The sequence below is a fragment of the Homo sapiens genome, chromosome 3, assembly GCF_000001405.40.
Source record: "Homo sapiens chromosome 3, GRCh38.p14 Primary Assembly".
In the NCBI taxonomy this organism is placed as follows: Eukaryota; Metazoa; Chordata; class Mammalia; order Primates; family Hominidae; genus Homo; species Homo sapiens.
The window spans coordinates 156693197-156717604 of NC_000003.12; the positions used below are offsets into that span (position 1 = coordinate 156693197).

General features: G+C 37.4%; 1 protein-coding gene and 1 pseudogene across 4 annotated transcripts in view; one reads left to right on the plus strand and one right to left on the minus strand.

Moving 5' to 3' along the window:
• TIPARP (TCDD inducible poly(ADP-ribose) polymerase) overlaps window positions 1-13574 on the plus strand; it is a 32181-nt gene extending 18607 nt beyond the window's left edge. For all 4 annotated transcript variants that reach the window (NM_015508.5, NM_001184717.1, XM_047447935.1 and 1 more), the window contains exons 3-6: window positions 824-992; window positions 2669-2829; window positions 10228-10506; window positions 11488-13574. In NM_015508.5, coding sequence (NP_056323.2) covers window positions 824-992; window positions 2669-2829; window positions 10228-10506; window positions 11488-11935 — 1057 coding nt within the window. In that variant the 3' untranslated portion in view covers window positions 11936-13574. The remainder of the gene's footprint in view (window positions 1-823; window positions 993-2668; window positions 2830-10227; window positions 10507-11487) is intronic.
• Window positions 18207-21833, minus strand: METTL15P1 (methyltransferase like 15 pseudogene 1; annotated as a pseudogene).

A 24408-nucleotide genomic window follows, 5' to 3' on the forward strand; every position in this document is an offset into this window, starting at 1 on the left:
GCCAGTTATTTGAAATAATGGTTCAAATGTTTCAAACTCTAGGTGAAGTTCCATAAAAGAGGAAACACAAATGTTTTTATTGGACTACCTTTTATAAATTATTAAATGAGTCTGATTCATATAGTGGGACTTCCCTCCAACAGTATGGAGACATTTGTAAAGGAATGATTCAGCAGCAGTCGACCAGATAATAAGATGACCAAAATATTCTCAAAGCTAAACCTCATAATAATCCAAACTTTTTTTTTCTTCATGTTTTGCCAACATTTTTCAACCCACAGGATAAAAGATAATATTGATGTTGGGTGGATTAATACTGGCTTTATCCGGATTCATTTTATTTTTCCCTTCTTTTATTCTGTCTTTGATCAGGCAATACTGTGTATTCCTGTATTGGCTCAAGTAAACTGATGGCCTCTGAAAAAAAGGTCAAGCTTGAAGAGAAATTTTCTGTCTATGTTTAGTTTCTACATATAGCATCATAGTAAAACTGACTCCCTGATTGGCTGAGGCCAGCCCACTGTAGAGTGGAGGGTGGGCTTATTTTGATTGGGTTAGGCCAGTGGTGCTGTGGGGTTAAATCAATCTTACTATAATTCCATGGCCTAGAAATTTTGGTCTTGATTAGAAAGGGCATGTAGGAAATGGATGCTGTGGAAACAACCGGCAATAAATATGCTTTTACTCCAAGTAAAGCAAGTTTTGAAAATTCTACAACAGGCTATGCTATGTATTTTTAATGTCCAATGATATTTTTAGATATTTCTGTTTTACAAATTTATTAACAGGTTTTTGGGTTTTTTTTGTTTTTGTTTTTTTTTAGAGGACAAGAATTTTGGGCAGATTTGAATGCCATGAACGTGTATGAAACAACTGAATTTGACCAACTACGAAGGCTGTCCACACCACCCTCTAGCAATGTCAACTCTATTTACCACACAGTCTGGAAATTCTTCTGTAGGGACCACTTTGGATGGAGAGAGTATCCCGAGGTATTTACAGATTCTTTGTTGACAAGTACATTTTTCAAATTTATTTTTTTCTTCCTGTATTCTTTTATTCTTTCTTTACAACAATGACTAGGCAGAACTATGCATATAATCAAACAGCTTATGAATATAAAATTGAGTCTCATTGATACAAGAAAACTTTTCTCTTTTTCTTAAAATTTATTTCTTTCCATTAATTTGAAATCCAAAGATAGCATACCACTATTATCAGATAAATAAAATGCTTTCCACAGAATCTTGCATTATAGAGATGAAATATTTTGACCTGTTGCCGCCTGTGGAGTAATTTTCACGACATGAGAATTGGTATAACTTTTGATTATATCTGGCTCTTGGGCTTATGGAGATTGGATCAAGTGTTACACTTAGCATTTTAGAAGCCCAATGGAAACAATCACTCATGTCTCTGGAAGAAGTACTTGAAAATGTTTATTGAGCTGTGGTCAGGGAAATCAGTTATTTACAATTTTCTCCTATGTGCACTTGCATCCTTAGTCTGAGACAGTGATAATAGCCCTTCAGTCTCAAAGCAAGGTTTTAAAATGATGATGGTTTACTTTGCTTCTGAATGACAATTCTGAGTCATTTAAACAACCTCAAATGGACTTTAGAGATTAATTTCACATTCCAAAGATCTGACTTTTTCAATTTAAGTTCATTTCCAGCATTACAAAAGGGGGGAACAACTTATCTACCTTACTTTTATTTTTAAAGACAATAGCAAAAGAAAAAAACCTAGTATGTTAATTATTGTTAAACACAATATTAAACTAAGTAAGTTTAAGTAATCACTAGTATCTACCTTCCAAAGAGAATACAAGGCTGTTTAAAATGTACTCTCAGAATACTTGGTAATCACTAGTTATCTACCTTCCAAATAGAATACAAGGCTGTTTAAAATGTACTCTCAGAATACTCAGACTGTTCCTGTGTTTTTCCTCTGAGAAGTTTTTTGGGTTTAGAGCTTGAACTTTATATACCACCACCTTTTCAAATTTTATTTATTTATTTATTTATTTATTTTGAGAGAGAGGTCTTGCTCTGTTGCCCAGGCTGGAGTACAGTGGCACAATCATAGCTCACTATAATCTTGAACTCCTGGGCTCAAGCAGTGCTCCTGCCTCAGCCTCCCAAATAGCTGGGACTACAGGTGCATGCCACCATACTCAACTAATTTTTATTTTTTATTTTTTGTGGAGACAGGATCTTGCGATGTTGCCCAGTCTAGTCTCGAACTCCTGGCCTCAAACAATCCTCCTTTCTCTGCCTCCCAAAGCGTGGGGAGTGGCTCACAGGCGTGAGCCACTGATACTGGCCAACATCACTATCTTTAATTCCTCTTTTGAAAACTCCCTTAAGAAATATGAACGAAAACTCTCTATGATATTATTAAGGCTCAAAATAGAATAAAATAGTTCCCTGGGCCCCACATGTTTTGTAAGGTGGAAATCCATGCCTTATGAACAGGGAGCATCTTTCCACCCTACATACTTGGAAGGGAAAAAAAATCTTAGCATATAAAGGGAGTTATTTAGACTCACTGTACTTTATTGAAATTCCTGTGAGGTTAACTTTTGCCTTTGGTTAATTTTCATTTTTAACCATGATTATTAACTTTCCTTTTTTTTTTTTTTTTTGTTCTGTTTTCTCCTCCATAGTCTGTCATTCGATTGATTGAAGAAGCCAACTCTCGGGGTCTGAAAGAGGTTCGATTTATGATGTGGAATAACCACTACATCCTCCACAATTCATTCTTCAGGAGAGAGATAAAAAGGAGACCCCTCTTCCGCTCCTGTTTTATACTGCTTCCATATTTACAGTAAGTGTCGAGTATGAAGTTGCAATATTTACTCTCATTTTATGTAAATGCATTCCTGAATACTAGAGATAAAAAATAAATAAGAGTCTACCTTGGTTAGTACTCCTAGAATGTGAAATTCCAAATTAGTCTTTGGATTTTAATTCCTCAACAAATTGAGTGTAAATAAGCTACAATAAATCCAGTTACACTAGAAGAATGAGTAACTTATTGGATTTTTTAGAGTTAACATTTTTCCACAACTAAATATAATTGTGTCTGGAATGAGTCACAGAACTTGCATTTACCTCCTTCATGGAAGATTTTTTCCTTCCATGAAACTACTTTCAAGATGAGACCCTTCTATGTTACAGGACAACTTAGCCAAACTGCCGGGGCAAGTGAGGAGAGTCCTACAAGGTGATTTCTTGTTTTCCTTTTACTTGAGGGAATTTGAATGGGGAAAGTTCACCTTTTCAAATAATTTACATTCTCATTTGCTAGGTAAGCCACCTCTTCTTGTGATACTCACTAAAATTACTTGTCATACTTACTAAGAATACAGTTTCTTAATGTAAGGTTAGGACTGAACTCACTCTTCTGAATTGTAGGTGAGCTTTTCTTCCATTTTGCCAAGAGTTGTTTCTTCCTTTGGTCTCCAGACAACCCAGTGGCACATCTTTATAGATACCAAAAGGTGGGGCACATTACCATTCACATGGCCACCTTTGAAAATTAGTATCTCTAGGGAAATCATTATCTACTCCAGTCAGATATGCTATTTTTAGAGACTGATTTTGAAAATGGTATAGGTTTACTTGGTTTTATGAACTTTAGAAGTCTAGCGTAATGGTTGGTTTTTTTGTGCTGATCTTTGAGGAAAAGATACCATTTTTATATTCCTACTGTTTTTATTTTAGCTCAAACTGTTTTCCCTAAGTTGTTATGAGAAAATCTTAGTGATTCTAATCCCATGTTTGGAAGGGGAACAGTAAAAACAAAATACAAATAAAAATCCCTGAAATGATCAGTATCCAAAAGAAATTTGTAGTAAGATTAATCTTAGAAATATATATTGGATTGGGTTAAGTGTGTTCTTTCTTCTAAGTGCCCGTTAGAAAAATTTTACCTTGTAGGGTTTCTTAAAAAATTAGAACTAGTAAAAATGCCATTTCTGTGATTTTACTAGCACAGCTGGAGATAGTGTCAGTGTCCAGTAGTTAGGAATATATTGTCCTCCTGGTGAGATAGTAGAACCCATTAGTGAGACCAGCAGCTTGGCATGCTGAGCCAATCAAGCAAGATAGAACTTCTGTGTGAGGGTAAGAATGCAAGTTCTGCATTGTTGGAAAGTTTCGGTGAATGGTGAAAATGCGTCTGTTTTTATCTCATGATAAGTAATTATGGAATATGCCCTCTTTTTTTTTTTTTTTTGAAGCTTAGGCTTGTTTTGTAAAAGTATGAACTATAAAGATAATATAAGCAGCAATACAATTAATGCCACAAATATGCCTTCATTATACAGGCATATCTTGTTTTATGGTGCTTTGCTTTATTGTACTTCACAGATAATTGTGTTTTTTACAAATTGAAGGTCTGTGGCAGCACTAGGTCAAGCCAAATCTATTAGTGCTGTATTTTCAACAGCATGCGCTCATTTTGTGTCTCTGAATCATATTTCGGGTATTCTTCGGATATTTCAGGTGTTTCATTATTATTGTATCTGTTATGGTGATCTGACCGGTGATCTTTATGTTACATTTGTTTTGGGGTGCCAAGAACAGCACCCACATAAGACGGCAGAGTGTTCAAGTGAAAGGAAGAGTTACACATCTCTAAGTCAAAAGCCAGAAATGATTAAGCTTAGTGGGGAAGGCATGTTGAAAGCTGAGATAAGCCAAAAGCTAGGCCTCTTGTGCCTTAACATTAGCCAAGTTGTGAATACAAAGGAAAAGTTCTTGAAGGAAATTAAAAGTGCTACTCTGGTAAGCACACGAATTATAAGAAAGTAAAACAGCCTTCTTGCTAATATAGAGAAAGTTTTAGTGATCTGGATAAAAGATCAAACCAGCTACAACATTCCCTTAAGCCAAAGCCTAATCCGGAGCAAGGCCCTAACTTTTTTCAGTTCTTTCAAGGCCGAGAGAGGTGAGGAAGCTGCAGAAGAAAGTTTAAACCTAACAGAGGTTGGTTCATGAGGTTTAAGAGCCCATCTCTCTTATAGAAGTGCAAGGTGAAGCAGGGAGTGTTGATGTAGAAGCTGTAGCAAGTTATCCAGAAATCTAGCTGAGATCATTGATGACAGTGGCTAAACTAAACAAGAGATTTTCAGTGTAGACAAAACAAACTTATATTAGAAGAAGATGCCATCTAGGACTTCATAGGTAGAGAGAAGTTGATGCTTGGCTTTAAAGGACAGGGCTATCTTGTCAAGGGCTAATGCAACTGGTGACTTTAAGTTGAAGCCTAGGGCCCTTGAAAATTGTGCTAAATCTACTCTGCCTGTGCTCTATAAATGGAAAAAGTGTGGATGACAGCACATCTGTTTATAGCATGGTTTACTGAATATTTTAAGCCCACTATTGAGACCTGCTCAAGAAAAAAAGACTTATTTCAAACTATTACTGCTCATTGACAATGCACCTGGTTACCCAAGAGCTCTAATGGAGATGTACAGATTAGTGTTTTCATGCCTGCTATACAACATCCATTCTGCAGCCCACTTATCAAGTAGTCATTCTGACTTTCAAGACCTCCTATTTTAACAGTATATTTTGTAAGGCTATAGCTGCCATACATAGTGGTTCCTTTAATGGATCTGGGCAAAGTAAATTGGAAAACTTTTGGGAAGGATTTACCATTTTAGATGCCATTAAGAACATCGTGATTCATGGGAGGGGGTTAACATACCAACATTAACAGAAATTTGGAAGAAGTTTATTTCAGCCCACATGGATGATTTTGAAGGGTTAAAGACTTCAGTGGAGGAAGTCACTGCAGATGTGGTGGCAATAGCAAGAGAGGTAGAAGTAGAAGTGTAGCCTGAAGATGTGACTGAATTGCTACTATCTCATGATAAAACTTGGATGCATGAGGAGTTGCTTCTTTTGGATGAGTAGAGAAAGTGGTTTCTTGAGATGGAATCTACTGGTGAAGATGCTGTAAAGATTTTTGAAATAATAAAGGGTTTGGAATATTACATCAACTTAGTTGATAAAGCAACAGCAAGGTTTGGGAGGATTGACTGCAACTTTGAAAGAAGTTCTGCGGGTAAAATGCTTTCAGATGGTACTGCATGCAACAGAAATCTTTCATGAAAGGAAGGGTCAATTAATGTGGCAAATTTCATTGTCTTATTTTAATAAATTGCCACTGCCACCTCAACCTTCAGCAATCACCACCCTGATCAGTCAGGCCATCATCAAGGCAAAACCCTCCCACCAGTAAAATTACTATGACTCACCAAAGGCTCAGATGATTGTTAGTGTTTTTTAGCAATGAAGTATTTTTAAATTAAGGTATAAATATTGTTTTTTTAAAGAATGAATGCTATTATGTACTGAATAGACTATGGTATAGTATAAACATAACTTTTATATGCACTGGGATACTAAAAAATTGTATTACTCACTTTATTGTGATATTTGCTTTATTGCAGTGGTCTGGAATAGAATGCTCAATATCTACTAGGTAGTCATATATTGATAATATGGGCTTACAAGAGAACAAAAATAGTTACTCTTTATTTTCCTTTTTCTTTTAAAAATTTTCTATTTTAATCTTTCTGTCTAAAACTGATAATCAGGTATAAAGTAAGAGATCAGCAAATCAAAGAAATATTAAACTTCAGTGAGAAAAGAGCAGAGAAATAGCCAGTCCACCAGGGTGGGATGGGTAAATGCAGTGATCCTATCTACCCTAGAGTGTGGGGCTGAAGGACCTAGTAGGGAGAAAGATGAGGGGAATTGGTTCCAAAAAGCATATTTTAGAAGTAGATTCCAGAGGCTATGATCTTAGCCAGGGAAAATGTTTCTTTTTAAGTGGTTTTTGTTTTGTTAAATTTTTAAAACTTTTTTATTTTTTTATTTTTTATTTTTTATATTTTTTAAAACTTTTTTAGAGACAGAATTTCCTCTGTCGCCCAGGGTGGAGTGCAGTGGTATGATCATCATAGCTCACTGTAACCTCGCACTCCTGGGTTCAAGTGATCCTCCTGCTTTAGCCTCCCAAGTAGCTGGGACTTACAGGTGGATGCTGCCATCCCCAGCTAATGTTTTCTTTTTTTTTCTTTGGTGTAGAGACAAGGTCTCACTATGTTGCTGGGGCTGGTCTTGAACTCCTGTCCTCAAGCAGTCCTCCTGCCTCAGCCTCCCAAGTAGCTGGGATTACAGGCATGATGTTTTGTTTTTAAGTGTTATTAAATGCAAAGGATAAAAAAAAAATAGGTGTTAAAGAGGCCACAATTCTCAGGGAATCAGATGCCTAAGAGTAGAAGGGGTGGGGTAGGAAGTTGACTTAATTAATGAATTTTCTACAAATTCAGCTGTTTTTAAAAGGTTTCTCCTGCTTTTTAATGGGGCTGATCTTAGAATACTTGAACTGAGACTGCATAAGCAAACAAAGCTTAGGGGTTTGGTGGTTCAGTGCTTTCAGCTGAAAGAACATTTATCCCATGCAGTCACCTCATGGTCATGGGAATGCCTGGCACAGTTTCTTTAATCCCCCCTGAAAAGGATAAAATGAATTAATTTGTATTTCATCGCTGAAACTGATTTAGTAAACATCTTTCAAAATGGTAAGGGGAAGGAGGGAAAGTAATAAAAGGTGAGTTTGGATTCTGAAATTTCATTCTTCAGAGATCCTTGTGTAGAAGCTCAATTCCCTTTGACTCCCTCTCTAGAGAAGGCTGGTGTCCGTCTGTGAAACATGCAGTATATCTTTGGAATACCCATGCAGTGAATACAAACTCATTCTCAGAAAATAAAGGCACATTTGTAACTGCGCTTGAAACATATTTTTTTAACCCATGGCTATTAGAGTGTTGAAGCCCATCAGACAGATGTGTATATGCATTTTTATGTTTTAGGCAAGTTAGGATGTTGGCTTGTTAAAAGTAAGCATCTATGGGTTGGAATGGATGTTAACCATATACATAGTCCAGTTTAATATCTTAGAATGGATAGGATTTATTTATCTCGGCTCATCTTCAAGCATATGTTAGTAATAATGGACCTCCATCCCCTGCAAAAAAGGAAAAGCTATATTTGAAGTTTGCATTTTATGGAACGGGTCCATAGTAGTGATATCAGAAAGAAAAGGGGCAGAATCTCTTCTGTTGTCACGGCTAGGTTTGCTGTACAGGCTGACAGTCTAAAACCTCTAGAGGAGAGTGTTTGCAGAGAATCTTACCTTTTTCTTTCAAACCAGAAGCCTGTGTTGGTAACTTCAAGCCCTGATAATAATAGAAAACCTGGTGGGCTGGGGACTTACCCTTTTCTTTGCAAAGCTGGATAGAGGGAGGAGCTATTAAATAAAAATAAGGGGCTTATATTCTTTGCTTCCCCGCCATTCCTCCAGATTAGTGATGGCTTTTTAAGGAGTTATAGATATTTGAGAATCTGATTAAAGCAGTCAGACCTCTCTTCAGGAAAGTGTACCAGTGAAAAATGTACCATTGTACCAGAAAAATGTATCAGTACTGAGGATCCAAAGGAATCTGTGTGGGCTCTGAGAAAATGCTACAGAGGACAAGGACTGTTGTGCCTTTTGTTGTGAAGGTTGGAGAAACCAGCAGCACTTTAAATCTCCCCCTGTACTTAAAAGCACCTCGGAGATTCAGTAAGCCCTGGATCCACCCATCCATCCAGGACTCTGTCTCACAAAGAGACTTTGAGGCACATTGAATTGAAGGCACAGTCACTTGTAGAAGGTGGGGGTTAGAGACGGCAGTCATGCTTCCATTGTTTTAGCTTCTTGAAAGTCATCTCCTAAAAGACTGTGTGTTGATGATAATGCGGTGGTGGTGGTGGTGGTGGTGGTGGTGGTGGTGGTGGTGGTGGTGGTGGTGGTTGTGGTGGTGGTGGTGGTGGTGATGGTGGTGTCAGGCAAAACTAGGTTGGAATCCTAGTATCCTGTCGATCACTTTCTAGCCTTGTTTTAAAAAATATATATATAAATTGTGAAACATATGGAACTGAAAAGAGTATGAAATTAGAAACTATCTAGATGGGCCTGGCCTAGATTCAAATTCTGTCTTCGCTCTTTGCTAGCTATACTCGGGCAAATTATTTAATCTCTCTAAACCTCAGTTTCTTCATTTGAAAAGTGGGAATAACCAAGTCATCTTACAGGGTTATTGTGACAATTAGTGATATTGTATGTAAAATGGCTGGCACATAGTATTAATTGGTTATGATTATGATGAGAGAGATGGTCAGCTATGCTCTTTGGAGATGAGACACACAAAGTTGTAGTCTCTGTGTCACAAAGCTCTTATGAAAATTTCAGTTTCCTAATACATTTTGGCACACATTATTACTTCCTTGTGACCAGTATGTGCCAATGAGTGTTATAGCACCTGGCCCTGAACTAGGTCTCAGGGTCAGGATTTCCTTGCTCTCTTCCACTTCTCTTTTTCTCCATTTCGAAATGGCCAAGGAATATGATTTAAATTTAAGCATTTAACTAGGCAGGAATAAGTAACTTACCAAAGCTGCTGCTTATCTAAAATCATTGTTCAAAGTAACAGACATGAATTTAAAGGCTCACGGATATGCATTCTGGTATCTAGAGTTTATAGTAATTAGCTCCATCTTAAGCACACTCAAAGCTATAAAAGTTGAATAGTATTGGTGGTTTTGTTTCTATGTGTGATCTTAGAAAACGAAGCAAATGTCAAATATTAGCATTCAGGTCCTGCTCCATGATTTTTGTTTGTTTTTATACAGAAATTAAAGTAGCTTTTTTTCTCCCTATAAGCTCCCTCCTTGCTGCATGCCTTACTTTGTCTCCCACCCACACATCCTTTAGTAATGAAATCTTTTCTGCTTAGTATCAGCACATTTGGAAGAAAACATATAACAAAGTTTCTTTAGCTATAGGTAATAAAGAGGAGTCTAGGATTCAAACGTAAAGGTATTTGTGAATTGGCTCTTGCTTGTTTGCCTTGTAGCTATACATTCCAGAGTTTTCTTCACAGGAAGGAGGCCCACAGAAGGCTAATAATAGGTTATTCATGTACAGGCGATGTTTGCTCCAAGCCTTTTTTTTTAATTAAATAGATAGCATTTTTTACTTTTAAAATAAGCACTTAAGCTATACAGATTATAATATTAAGTAGACACTGATATAGATCACTATAATGTGAGGTGTACTTATTTCTTAATGTTTTACATTGATGTTTCTTCCTCTCCATTTTAGGACACTTGGTGGGGTTCCCACACAAGCTCCTCCACCTCTTGAAGCAACTTCATCATCACAAATTATCTGCCCAGATGGGGTCACTTCAGCAAACTTTTACCCTGAAACTTGGGTTTATATGCATCCATCTCAGGACTTCATCCAAGTCCCTGTTTCTGCAGAGGATAAAAGTTATCGGATCATTTACAATCTTTTTCATAAGACTGTGCCTGAGTTTAAATACAGAATTTTGCAGATATTGAGAGTCCAAAACCAGTTTCTTTGGGAGAAATATAAAAGGTGAGTCAGATGTATGAAAAGTTCAAGACGGCCGGGCGCAGTGGCTCAAGCCTGTAATCCCAGCACTTTGGGAGGCCGAGGCGGGCAGATTACGAGGTCAGGAGATCGAGACCATCCTAGCTAACACGGTGAAACCCCGTCTCTACTAAAAATAGAAAAAATTAGCTGGGCGTGGTGGCGGGCACCTGTAGTCCCAGCTACTCGGGAGGCTGAGGCAGGAGAATGGTGTGAACCTGGGAGGCGGAGCTTGCAGTGAGCCGAGATTGCGCCACTGCACTCCAGCCTGGGCGACAGAGCCAGACTCCGTCTCAAAAAAAAAAAAAAAAAAGTTCAAGAATCAAGAGAGCTTTATTGTAGCCAGTGTCAAATGAGGAACATAATAGTAAACATTTGCACAGAATTTATGTTCATATTTTCTGTGTATTGACTGACATATAATCCTCATAACAGACATAAGTAGGATTATTACAATTTATATCCTACAGAGAAGAAGAAACTGAGTCACAGAAAGCTTACTTTGCTGCAGGTCATGCGGCTATTATGATATGGTGCTGGAATTTGAACCCAGGCCGTCTGGCACCAGAGGCCTTGCTCTTAATCCCTTTACTGTGGTGCCTCTCAAGTCAACAAACTAATGAAGGACAAATGGAGGGAATACATTTAGATTTCAGGAATCTCAGAATCTAAGAGACCCTCAGATTGGAGGAATTAGGCAAGGAGGGCATCCTGAGGAAAAACATAGGAGAACTCTTAATAGATTTAAGATGAAAGAGAAAGCAAGTGAATGATTGGTGGAGAAAGAAGGAAAAGGCCTTTTCTACAGTGGAAAGATAAGTTTCAACTTTTAATAGGATCTTTGATGGCATTTTGCCCTTGATAACTCCTCATTAAAACCATAAAGAGAAGTTTATGACTACATCATGCCTGTTAAATTGACCTGTATTTCATCCTTCTGAATTCTCTGTCTGTTCTTTCCATTAGGAAAAAGGAATATATGAACAGGAAAATGTTTGGCCGTGACAGGATAATAAATGAGAGACATTTATTTCATGGAACATCCCAGGATGTGGTAGATGGAATCTGCAAACACAACTTTGACCCTCGAGTCTGTGGAAAGCATGCTACAATGTTTGGACAAGGCAGTTATTTTGCAAAGAAGGCAAGCTACTCTCATAACTTTTCTAAGAAGTCCTCCAAAGGAGTCCACTTCATGTTTCTGGCCAAAGTGCTGACGGGCAGATACACAATGGGCAGTCATGGCATGAGAAGGCCCCCGCCAGTCAATCCTGGCAGTGTCACCAGTGACCTTTATGACTCTTGTGTGGATAATTTCTTTGAGCCTCAGATTTTTGTCATTTTTAATGATGACCAGAGTTACCCTTATTTTGTTATCCAATATGAAGAAGTCAGTAACACTGTTTCCATTTGAAAAATCTTGGTACTGCTAAATTATTTGATATGAACTCAATCCAGCATTTGTAGCAGGTTTTGAATGGGTGGGACTGGGTGGGGAACAGCATTGGACATTAATAGGGCACTTTTCAGACCCATTTTTTAAAGTGCTAGAAAATGCTTTTTTTAAAAAAAAAATACAAGTTTTAAAATGACCACTTACTCTTTAATTATTTACTAATTGCTAGTGTACTCAGTGTGGAAAAGACTACAGATTACACACTCTTTTCATTCACACTTGTACATATAGACAGCAATGTTATTAGGAGCATTAAATTAAAAAACTGAACAGCCTAATTTAAATGTGGCTTGGGCCTGGTAGAAGTTTGACCAAATGGAATGGAGGCTGTGAGCAATGTGAGGATTCTATTTATTTATTTACGTTTGATAAAACTTACTGGAACTAGTACTACCATGCGTATTCCCTGTCCAAAGCATCACTGCTTTGGTATAGTATAAGTTCATGAAATTCTGGTGGGTAGAAAGAAATTTTTATTTCTATCAGCAGTACTAAAATGTATCAGCCAACCAGAGAACATCAGTGACTTTAACTTCTGCAGAGTTTGCCCCAGAATTCAGAGTTCTATTTAGAGGAAGTTAAAACAACAACAAAAAACAACCATTTGAAAAATTTTTGTCACCAGCAAAACTTTTCACTAATTAGTGATATGAAATGTGATTTTTGTGTTGTTAAACTTCAGCTTTGGAAAACTCAGTCTCTTTCATTATCATCCATTCCAATTTGAAGGAGTTGGGCAGCTAATTTGGTTAAAGGCAGTCTTGAGGGTTAGAAGTATTACTTCCTTTTCGGGTTCCAGACCTAGCTTGTGACTGAAAGTTTTAGAAAAAGGAAGTACATCTATAGCCAAATTGATAAGGTTATTACTGTGTTTTGCACAAAGTATATTAGCAAAAGTATTTGCTGGAATTATTGGTAGATGGCAGTCCCACTCCTACACCTGCTTTGTCAGATACAGCTGGGTTCCCTGGCTGACTCTGTACCTTACTTACACTACTTACTTAATAGAAACACAAACTTGGAAATTGTGCCAGTGGTCCAGCTGGAGCACAACGTTTGGTGAATATGCTGTTTCCTCAGTTCAGAGAGGTAGCAACTAGGTAAACTCCTTATAAAAAGCAAATACCTGGATTTACAAAAGTGAAAGTAGTTGTTCACAAAAGAATTCGCCATGGAATTCTTTCAGTTACCAAGCTCTCCTGGTAATGTTTGTGGTTATATCATTTACACAAAACTTTTCAGGAACTTCTGTGTTGTTTAAGCAAGATGTATCTGTACTGATGTCTCAGTGAATCAGTCTGTTTATTAAGCACTTATCAGGGCTTCCACACACTTATTTATTTTGCCCTAGTTAATCCTGTTGTTTGCTGCCATTGGCATGAAATGGCCAACTGTGGCTGTTACAGTTCTTTCATTCAATTATAACTTGTAAACCAGTGACTCCTAATCTTTTTCAAGTTAAGACACCTTACCATTGCTTATTTGGTTTTATGAGACTTGTTCCTTTTTTTCTCCCTAAGGAAAAAGAAAGCTTTATGACATATTTATTTTTTTAATAAAACTAAGCAAAAATAAAACTTATGGTAATTCTTTAAAATTTGTTGTTGTTTTGGTTCCATTTAAGATCACTGGATTAATACATAGTTGGTGATCTGTAAATGTTGATTGGTTGGTTAAATGTATGATTGAGTGACTGAATGAACAGACCTAACCAGAACTTGCTGCTTAAACTTTTCTGCAGTGTGAATCTACAGAAAGTACATTATCTAGCAGCCCATTATCATTTACAAGAGAAGAATCAATATTTTATTTTGCAGGTAATACTTGGAGGAAATGGAAAAGTTTTTTTTTTTTTTTTTTTTGAGGCGGAGTCTTGCTTTGTCGCCAGGCTGGAGTGCAGTGGTGCGATCTTGGCTCACTGCAACCTCCACCTCCCAGGTTCAGGCGATTCTCCTGCCTCAGCCTCCTGAGTAGCTGGGATTAAGGCAACCGCCTCTATGCCCGGCTGATTTTTTTTTAATTATTACTTTTAATACAGACAGGGTTTCATCGTGTTGGCCAGGCTGGTCTCAAACTCCTGACCTCAGGTGATCTTCCCACCTTGGCCTCCCAGAGTGCTGGGATTACAGGTGTGAGCCACTGCACCTGGCCTCCAAAACTTTTTGAGCATCAACATGATACTGAAAGAAAATGCTCATTGGAACATACCAGATTCTGGATTTTCAGATTAGGAATGTTCAACTGGGAAATACACAAATACTTAAAAACCTGAAATCCGAAACACTTCTAGTCCCAGGTGTTTCCCATAAGGGAAACTCAATCTGTATCAGCAGACAGCTGCAGAGAAAAACATAAGCAGGTTGTCCCTTTCACTGGGTGTGAAGGAAATATAAAAAGGATTTGTATGGCCAGGCATGGTGGTTCATGCCTATAATCCCATCACTTTCGGAGGCTAAGGCAGGCGGATTGCTTGAGCTCAGGAGTTTGAGACCAGCCTAGGCAGCATGGCGAAACCCCGTCTCTACAAAAATAGAGAAATTAGCCGGGTGCGGTTATGTGTGCCTGTGGTCCCAGCTACTCAGGGGGCTGAGGCTTAAGCCCAGGATGCAGAGGTACAGTGAGCCGAGATTGTGCCACTGACTTCCAGCCTGGGCAACAGAGTGAAACTGTCTCAAGAAAAAAAAAGTGGGGGAATGGAATTGTAGAAGTCTCATCAGCTCTCAAAGCCCCTTAGATTTCAGCCAGCTAGCAAAGTCATCTGATTAGTATACATAAGCATTTCTAACAGTGCTTTTAGCCCCAGTGTAATGATTTTTATATCCCTGTAATAGCATCGTATGTTGTTTTAACTAAGTAATAACTACCAAGTCAGTCTAAATTTTGTAATGGTTCTATGGATTTAAAACATACTAAAAGGCATTCAGTAACTTCTACCAGCACAGCTGTAATTTACACCATTTCAAGAAGCTGGAACTTGCTCTTAAACTATGGTTAAGATTTCCAGGAAAAGAGAGTCTACAAACTCCCTGAGATTCCAGTCATACAATCCTATAGACAGGAAGATTTTGTATGTGTCCAAAGTTTATAAATATTGGATCCTTGGTATTATGAATCTAATACCCATCTCTGCACCTTGTTACAAACCTGTTTGTTTTAGTAAACAATTAGTTGGTTATAAAAAGTCACTAGGGCCTGATATACTTGTAAAGAAATTTTATTATATAAGGTCTGAAAATGACTAAATAGGAATCCAATACCATACTGTCAGTTTAAAGAGAGGTTTTTTCCTCCTTCATTTAAGGAAAGTAAGATTACTGCAAGATGTTTCTAGATTTCCTTAGTTTGAATCTAACAGTCAAAACACATTTTAGAAAATCCTACATAGTACTTTTCTGGAATCTAATCCATACCACGTATGTTGTTGCTATTACCATGCGGTTTTAAAAAAATAACTTAAGCTCTTCTATTGTAACTAAACTATACAGCCTTGAACAAATCACTTAACCTTACCACATGGTTAGTTTTCTCATCTTTCTCATCTTTGACTTTTTTAAATGACTATAAATGATGAGACTATCTAACTTTAAAACACTACAATGCAAAAATTTTTTGTAAAGTGCTATACAAACAACTTATAGCATGTACTTACAAATTAAAAGCCAGATACATTTTCCATTAAAAGATAGTTTTAAAAACAGTCCCATCTAGTTTGTTGATTTAAGTACTCTTATTATGGCCAAGTTAAAGAAATTAAACAGTGCTTTTTACCTTCTTTAACTTTCTAATCTTACTTGTAAGCCATCATTATAGAAAGAAAAAGATGCTATTGAAAGATTTCATCAGCATTAATTAGTTGGTCTTATTTTATTGCTTAACTCATTTCTTCACGTATCTTTTGGAAGACAACTCCTGCATAGAACTGTCAGATGGCAGCTCTTTTGAAGCTTTAATCTTACGTGAATGGAAGTGTTTGTGTGGTAGAAGTGTTTCATGAACACTTGCCAAATTCTTCAAGCTAGAGGAGCAGTGCCCAGCCATTTTAAATATGTCAATTTCATCGATTATCATAGTAATTCTTAATTACCTAATGATTTCTAAAATGCAGAATGACCAAAAGCTACCAGGAATTCAATGATTTTTTTTTAATCAAACTTGGATTACTCGTCACAAATATATATATCTACATTTGATATGTGTGATATACTTAGTCTATAGACATATATGATGCTTAAATGGATTAATGGTTCCTTATGATAATTCCAATATGCTGCTGGTGTTCATAGTTAACAGGCTAGAACCACTGGGCTAGACTATTTCTATATTCATGTTTAAATAATTTCCTTTTTTAACTAGGTGCATGTCCTTAATTATATCCAATCTTAAAATAGCCTTAAATCAGATAGCTAATAGGTTCAACCCAGTTCAAGAGCCTCTAACCCTTCTAATGCTTAGCAAGTCTTAGGTGCCGAATTGTCCATTTGGTGGGCCTCATGTTAGATACATCACGCTGCTCTTCAAAGTGTATCACAGTATATTAAGGATCTTATTTAACAGATTTGAGTGGCAAGAGTACACTCAACAGGTGCTACACAACTACATGATAATATAGTACTCGTCAATAAGAATAAGAAATTCTTGTGCAACCATCAGTTTATAAATTGTTTTTTGAACAGCAGTGATAGATTTGGGGCATTAACCTACACTTTTTTTGTCAAAGGTCTCACTTGAAGGTCATGCATTTTATAGTATTTTGGATAAGGGTTTAAGTCATAGTTTCTAAACTGGGTGTAATTAACTATTCCCTATAGAAGTAGCAATCATGAATCTAATTAGCATTAGTCTCAGTGGTCTAAGCTAATTGAATCCAGTATCTATAAGCATTAGTTCCAACCACTCATAAATGTAGCTGGATTTCTAAATGCCAGTTTATATCCATTACTATAGATTTATGACTATATTTTTCTAAGCTACAAGTTTGCAGTCTTATTTATAATTATTAATAACATAGGCACATACAAGTCAGTGCTAGACAGGAGTGGGAATGCAGATTTTGTGGGTCATTGTTAGGGGAATTCAATTTTGTGATAAATTAGTGTCATTTACTTATCAGAAAGCAATGGCTTAGTTACAAGCCTGCCCAAGAAAGTTATTTGCACAATTTGAATATGTGGCTTGTTGGCTGAGATAAAGAATGTAAAGCAGAAGAGTGCCTGGCTCTTGATATACAATCAAATTTTAATGAGTGGTAGTAAGAATAGCAGTAGTAGCAGCAGAAGGAATAGTAAGTACTGTGGTAGGCTGAATAATGGCCCACAAAAGTGTCCAAGTCCTAATCCCAAGAACCTGTCAATATGTAACCTTATATGGCAAAAAAAGCACTATTGATTAGGAATCCCGACTCCTGAGATAGGTTATCTTCTAGTGGGCCTAGTGTAATCACAAGGGTCCTTATAAGGAGACAAGTCAGAGATGGAAAGATGCTCTGCACTGCTGGCTTTGAAGATGGAGGCTGAGACCATGAGCCAATGAATGCAGATGGCCTTTAGGAGCTACAAAACATAAGAAAACACCTTCTCCCCCAGAGCTTCCAGAATGAATGCAGCTCTGCCAACACCTTGATTTTGGGACTCTGACCTCCAGAACTGTAAGTATAAATTTGTGTTGTTTAAAGTTGCTAAGTTGTAATTTGTAATAGCTGCAATAGAAAACTAATACAAATAGTAAAAATAATAGTAATGATATTGGAGAATCATCAGAGAACTGTTCCAATATAAATTAATAATTAAAACGAGCTCTACAAATGTGAAAAATTCAAAAGCCTGTTGAAAGTGTTAAAATTTGTGTGAAATTCCAAGAGTAGACTACCAGTGGCTTTCCGAAAGTGGTATATCTACATGCTAAAGATAAACCCATTTAAAGTAAGGTTTCTTCAAAGGAGCAGTTAAATACTGAATAATGGCAAGCACTACAGTTAGTCAGATAGCCCAGTAAAACAGATCTCTTGTGGAAGATGGGGGAGAATGGAAATTGGTTAGTGAAAAAGATGTAGGATGGAAAATCTTAGCATTGAGATTGTCTAATAGTAAATTTACTTTGCAGATTCAAGCGTCCTTTAAGTGTTCTTCTTATGTGGGGAAGAGAACCAAGCTAGTTAGAAATTACTTATTAACTAGCTCAGAGCCCAGGAAATTCCTTTCTCCAGGATATAAAGTAGCTTTCTTTTTTTTTTATTACAGAAAAGTTAATTTATTTTTACATGAAAACATTTTGAAACCAATTTTGTGTTTATTGAAGGATTTTTCTCATGCATATTATCCAAGATTTTTTTCTGTCAGAGTATTAGCTTCCTAGGATTGCTGTAACAAATTACCATGAACTGGGTACCTTAAAACAGCAGAAATACGTTCTCACTGTTCTGGATGCTAGATGTGCAAAACCATGTTAGCAGGGTTGGCAACTACTGGAACTCTGAGGGAGAATCTATTCCATGCTTTTTTCCTATCTTCTGAGGGTTCCCACAATGTATCACTCCAATCTCTGCCTCCAGCTTCATGTGGCATTCTCCCCTGTGTCTCTATCTTCTCTTTCTTCCTTTTTTTTTTTTTTTTTTTTTTTTGAGACAGAGTCTCGTTCTGTTGCTCACACTGGAGTGCAGTGGTGTGATCTCGCAACCTCCACCTCCCGGGTTCGAGTGATTCTTGTGCCTCAGACTCCTGGGTAGCTGACATTACAAGCACCACGCCTGGCTAATTTTATTTTTAGTAGAGATGGGTTTTCGCCATGTTGGCCAGGCTGGTCTTGAACTCCTGAGCCTCAAGCGATTTGCCTGGCTTGGCCTCCCACAGTGCTGGGATTACAGGCGTGAGCCACCATGCCCGCCCTATCTTCTCTTATAAGGAACACCAGTCATATTGGATTAAGGGCCTGCCCTGCTCCAGTATGACCTCATCTTAGCTACTTACAACCACAACCACAGTATTTCCAAATAAGGTCACATTCTGAGGCTCCAGGAAGTACATGAATTTTGGAGAGGACACCATTCAACCCAGTACATTCAGTTTCTATTTAACATAAAAAATAATTCCCATACTATACAGGATGAAAAAATGACTTATGAAATAGGTGAAAGATTGTTGAATATACAAATGTGATCTTTTCTTTTCCAATCACATACAGAGATAAGAATTTTTTGGGAATATGTCTCATTCACAAATATGTATTATATGCAAAGAGAAATTTATACATTGTTCAAGTAGGATTCAGGGAATTAACCTAGGTGCGTTCTCTTGTTTCTATTTCAACCATATTGTTCTCCAGATTTTTTTCCTAATTCTGATTTCCCTGTGGGATTGTTCAGATTTAAATAAAGCCTGTAAAGCAGAAGTAGTGAACAAGCCTGGGTACTAAAGTTAAATATTACAGAGGCAGATAAAATAAGTCTGAGAAAAATTCATGCATTTAATTCTATCTATTTTGCCCACATAGTTATGCTGATATTTCATTCACTTGGATTCACCAACTTAAAATTTGTAACTATAATGGAGAATCTTTTTTCTGTATTTGAAAAAAGTGCACTGAGCAAATTAATAGTATAAATATGATTTCAAGGATAACTAAGAGAATATTTATTTCTATGTATGGTTAATCAACATGCCCCCTTCCATACTCCATGTGCCCTTTGACTAATTATCTCCAATTCATCTTTCAGGTCACAATTCAAGTATAAATAATAAATTAGAAGTACATATTACTATAAAAAATTGACATGTGAATTATGAATCAATCTCCTCAATTTGTTAAGGAATCTTCTACCAAGTACTCTTTTCTTGAATAAACTTTTACCCATATTACAGTTACCATATCTTTGTAACAACATTAAGGGAGCATTGATTTTACTATATTAAATAGACAGTTTTCTATTTCAAATAGACTTGGCTGAATTATTTTGATTAGCTCAATTAAAAAATACAAGATTCTAATAAGAGACTTTATTACTTACTAAAGGCATTGTGAGCTATTATTAAAATAAATACAATTGACATGAAATATAAGTTTTGTGAAACAATTCTCTGTAACGACTTTACATTTTTACTTTGCGATAGATGAACAAAATGGCCCATATCATACTGAAAAATCCCTTTAAAATAATAGACTATAATTTGAAAGATGAAATTTTATCAGTATAACACACATTTAAACTAATATTTTAAAATTTAAAATTTGTAAAAAGCCTACATTTGAGAAAGCTAATTATTCACAAGTAGGGACATTAAAATTCATTCCATAATCATCATTATTTGAGCCACAGAAAGACTGATGCAAATTGGAATATCTAAATTCAAAATTTAGGACATGCAGATGTGATTACAACATCTTTCTCTTTGGTAGCTTGAGTTTACGTATTTAGATAAACACAACACAGTATTATTTTTTAAAAAATTTCCTGGCCAGAGGAAGGATTGCCTTCAAGAGTCCAATATGATGCAAAGATTAACACATTTTTCCAGTCTGGAGGTGCTGCTGCTCCCTGAGTGTAACTTTCTCTGTCATGTATTTCCTACAGTTTCTTTTTGAGAAAAAAGAAATGCTAAATGCTATCAATTTTCAGACTGTCCCACACTTAAACCTATACCAAGACATTCAGGGACATAACATGAGTAAAGATTAGAGAAATTGTGAGAAAAAATTTGAAGAATAAGATGATGGTAACTTATAATTTGATAGCTGCTCTAAGCTTGGCTGAGCGCCCTCTGGGGTTATCTTGTACATCCTGATCTTGTGGACTAAATACCTTCTTGTGTATCAGTTCCCACATTAAAGGAGCTCTTCTCATAGAGACTTCTTCCGTGTTTTCATGATCTGAACCCAATTGAGATGTTTTCATCACTTGTTGTCTAACACTTAGGTTAAATCTTTCTGTCATGCTTATTCCAAGCAAAAATCTTTTGACGATGCGATCCTCTAGTGAATGGAAGGAGAGGGCAACAAGACGACCACCAAGTCTCAGAAACTTCTGAGCTGTCTTCAGTCCCGTGTAGAGTTCATTGAGCTCATTGTTCACAAATATGCGAAGAGCCTGGAAAGTCTTGGTGGCAATATAGGTAGATTGCTGTAGTAAGTCTTTCCGTGTATAAATAGCAGAGGGAGGAAATGTTCCTGCCACCATCCATTCTTATGTCCAAAGGGCCATCTTTCCGAAGGGAAGAACCTCTTTCAGGAGTATCAAGTTGCATGGAGGAACACCCAAGATCCATAAGAACTCCATCAAAAGTTCCTGGCTGCACTCCAGCTTTCATTAATAAGGCTTCTGCCTGGCTGAACTGGCCCAGCATAGCTCGGATTTGTTTAGGATACAACTCTGAAAGATGTTCAGCTAATGCATAAGCTGTTGGGTCTCTGTCCAAGGCATAGAGAACAATATCTGACTCCTTCTGCAGAATGGCTTTTGTGTGCCCTCCCGAACCAAATGTCATATCTAGAAAAATCTGTCCTTTTTGTGGTGACAAACAATGAACAACTTCATCCACCATTACTGGAATATGTAATTTAGCCATAGTTTCAAAATCTCTATCTTGAGATCTGTGTAACTCCTGGACTTGAGTTTGATCTGTTTGCTCCCGGGCTTCATATTCTCTATATTTTTCTGCTGTAGTATGTATTCTTTTTGGCCAGACACCTAAATTAGGTATGCCAGATTCCAACCAACATGAAAGGCATTCTTTATACATTCTACAAAAATATGGATACCGAAGCATTTTGTAGGTAAACAAATCTGAAGCACGAAGACTTCTCAGCTGGCCTCTAACTCGGGCCAGCGACTACCACTATGGTCCAGGAGAACCTGAATGCGCCACGCCTAAAGTAGCTTTCTTAAGCTTAGCAAGGTACAGAGTTTTCTTTAACCCCTTGTTCATAAAGAATATTATCTTTCATAAAGACGTTGTTAAGGTCTCAAACCTTATTAAGAATAATCCCAGCTCTAATCAGCTTTTTATTGTTCATAATCAGGAGCTTCTTACCAGAGGACCTCATTTGAAGCTTTGCTTTGAAGGATGGGACATCCACTTAACTTTGTTCTCTATTGTACCTTTCTCCAAAGAGTCATGTGGAGAGGGTCAAGGTGATCAGATTGTTTCAGTAAAGACACATAAAAGTATCTTAAATTATAATATAATGAATTCCATATGTCTCCTAACAGAAATCTAGAACAGATTAATTCAAGATTGATTAATTCAAAGGTGCAACATTTCTAAGGAATCTGTGTGATTCTCTTGGCTCTTCCCTCATGACTGCAAGGACTGCTCTGGCTTCAAATACCACATCTCATTTGCAACATCCAAATGTAGAAAGGGTTGATCCTCATGAAGTGCCTTTGTGTGTGTGTGTGTGTGTGTGTGTGTGTGTGTGTGTGTGTGTGTGTGTCTTATAAGAGTTAGAAAAACCTTACAGTAACACTCTAGTGGACTTTCAGTTATGTCTTACTATTCCGGGTTGCATCACAAGACCATGCCTAAACCAATCCCTGGCAAGGAGGACAGATTGACTATGAATGCTTTGAAATAACCAACATTCACTCCCTGGGGAATAGGAGTTATCCATTAAGCAAGTGGTCACCCATACCTGAACAAGATTGGGCTTCTGTTTGTAAGGGAAAAAGAAAATATAGTTTGGCCTACAAGCCATAATTTGCCAACTCCTATGCTAGCGCAACATTTTACAACTTCCCTGAGCCTTCTTATCACCACCTGGGAGTGTGAAAACTAGATTCTGGACCCTTTCTCAAACCTCCTGAATTTTGATAAGCATATTGGATGATGCTTAGACAAGGCAAGTTAAGAACCCTGTGCTCTGTGAGGCCTTCTCCCTCAGATTGTGTGATGGAAAAGATAGAGGAGCCCTCCACACTAAAGTAGATGCATCGGCTCTTTCTTATCCAGACGTGGGCTCACAAGAACATTAATGCTATGATTGTGTCTGAAAAAGCCAAGTGACATATAACTGAAACAACTTTTGGGATAATAGAACTCATAGGTGCCAGACACTATTCTAAGCACTGTTCATTCATTAGCCATTTTAAGCCTCATAACTTTGTGAGATAGGTACTGTTATTATTCCCATTTTACTGATGGACAAATTAAGGCCTCAAGAGGTTAAGTAACTTAACCAAGGTCACATAACAAGTAAGCAGAGGAACTAAGTTTAAACTCAAGCAGTTTGGTTCTGGAATTTGTGCTTATAGTCACTGTAGCCTGCTTCCACCTATACTATATACCACTTTCATTCAATCCGGATAATCAAACCAAAAGTTAGTTTTTGATTTGTTACTTGAGATGTTCAGGTACTGTTTCAACTTTTTGCTTCTAGCTCCTACTATAGAAGTGCTTCTAACTACAGGGAAAGCATTATTATTTTTTTATTTTGTTTTTGAGACAATCTTTTTCTATTGCCCAGTCTGGAGTGCAGTGGCGCAATCATGGCTCACTGCAGCCTTGACCTCCCGAGTCAAGCACGCCTCCTACTTCACCCTCTTGAGTAGCTAGGACTACAGATGTATGCCACCACACCAGGCTAATTTTTAAATTTTATTTTGTAAAGATGAGGTCTCACTATGTTGCCCAGGCTGGTCTCCAACTCCTGGGCTCAAGCGATCCTCCTATCTTGGCCTCTTAAAGTGTTGGGATTACAAGCATGAGCCACCATGCCCAGTCTACTTTTTAAAATCTGATTCCCATTCCCTCTCTGTTCTGTATTAGACCATATTCAGTTTAAAAAGAAAATGGAAAGCCTTTAGGAAGGCTGTGCCTTCATGGCCAATGTTGTTTGTGAAGGCATATGCCACAATGCTTATATCTTCCACTCAGGGATCAGTGATGGATCCTGAAGCTATTGCAAGAAGGCTTCCACCGTTGCACTGACACATCCTCCAAGTGAAGGCATTCCCAACCCTGCTGTTCTTGTTCAACAGAAATCTCCCATTTCTGGAGGGTGAGAAACCAACTGGCTCCAAGAGTGGCAGATGTTCAATCTCTTACTGGGGTGCCAAGTGGATTGAAAATTTTTCTGACTTTAGAGTTTTCTGTCACAGGATAACCAAGGACCTGAGGGAGCCGATAAAGGCAAGGGGTCACTTGTAATTACCATTACCCCTTTTCACGAGTTAGAGTTGTCTGGATGGCACTAGGTCCAGGAAATAGAACAGGGAGTTTTCTCTAGAGACAGAAGGAAACAATAGGATGAAAAGGGTAGAAACAATAATACGGAAGCTTGGTTACGTGCTTAACAAAGCTCAGGATCAATCCCAAACCTGAAGATGCCAATGTCAGAGCCTACAGTTGGGCTGGGTGGAAGCAAGAGATCAGGACTTGGACATGAGTTTTGTTCTATCCTTTTCTCTAGAAATGGAGGGAAAGGGTATCTGGCTAGTACACAAA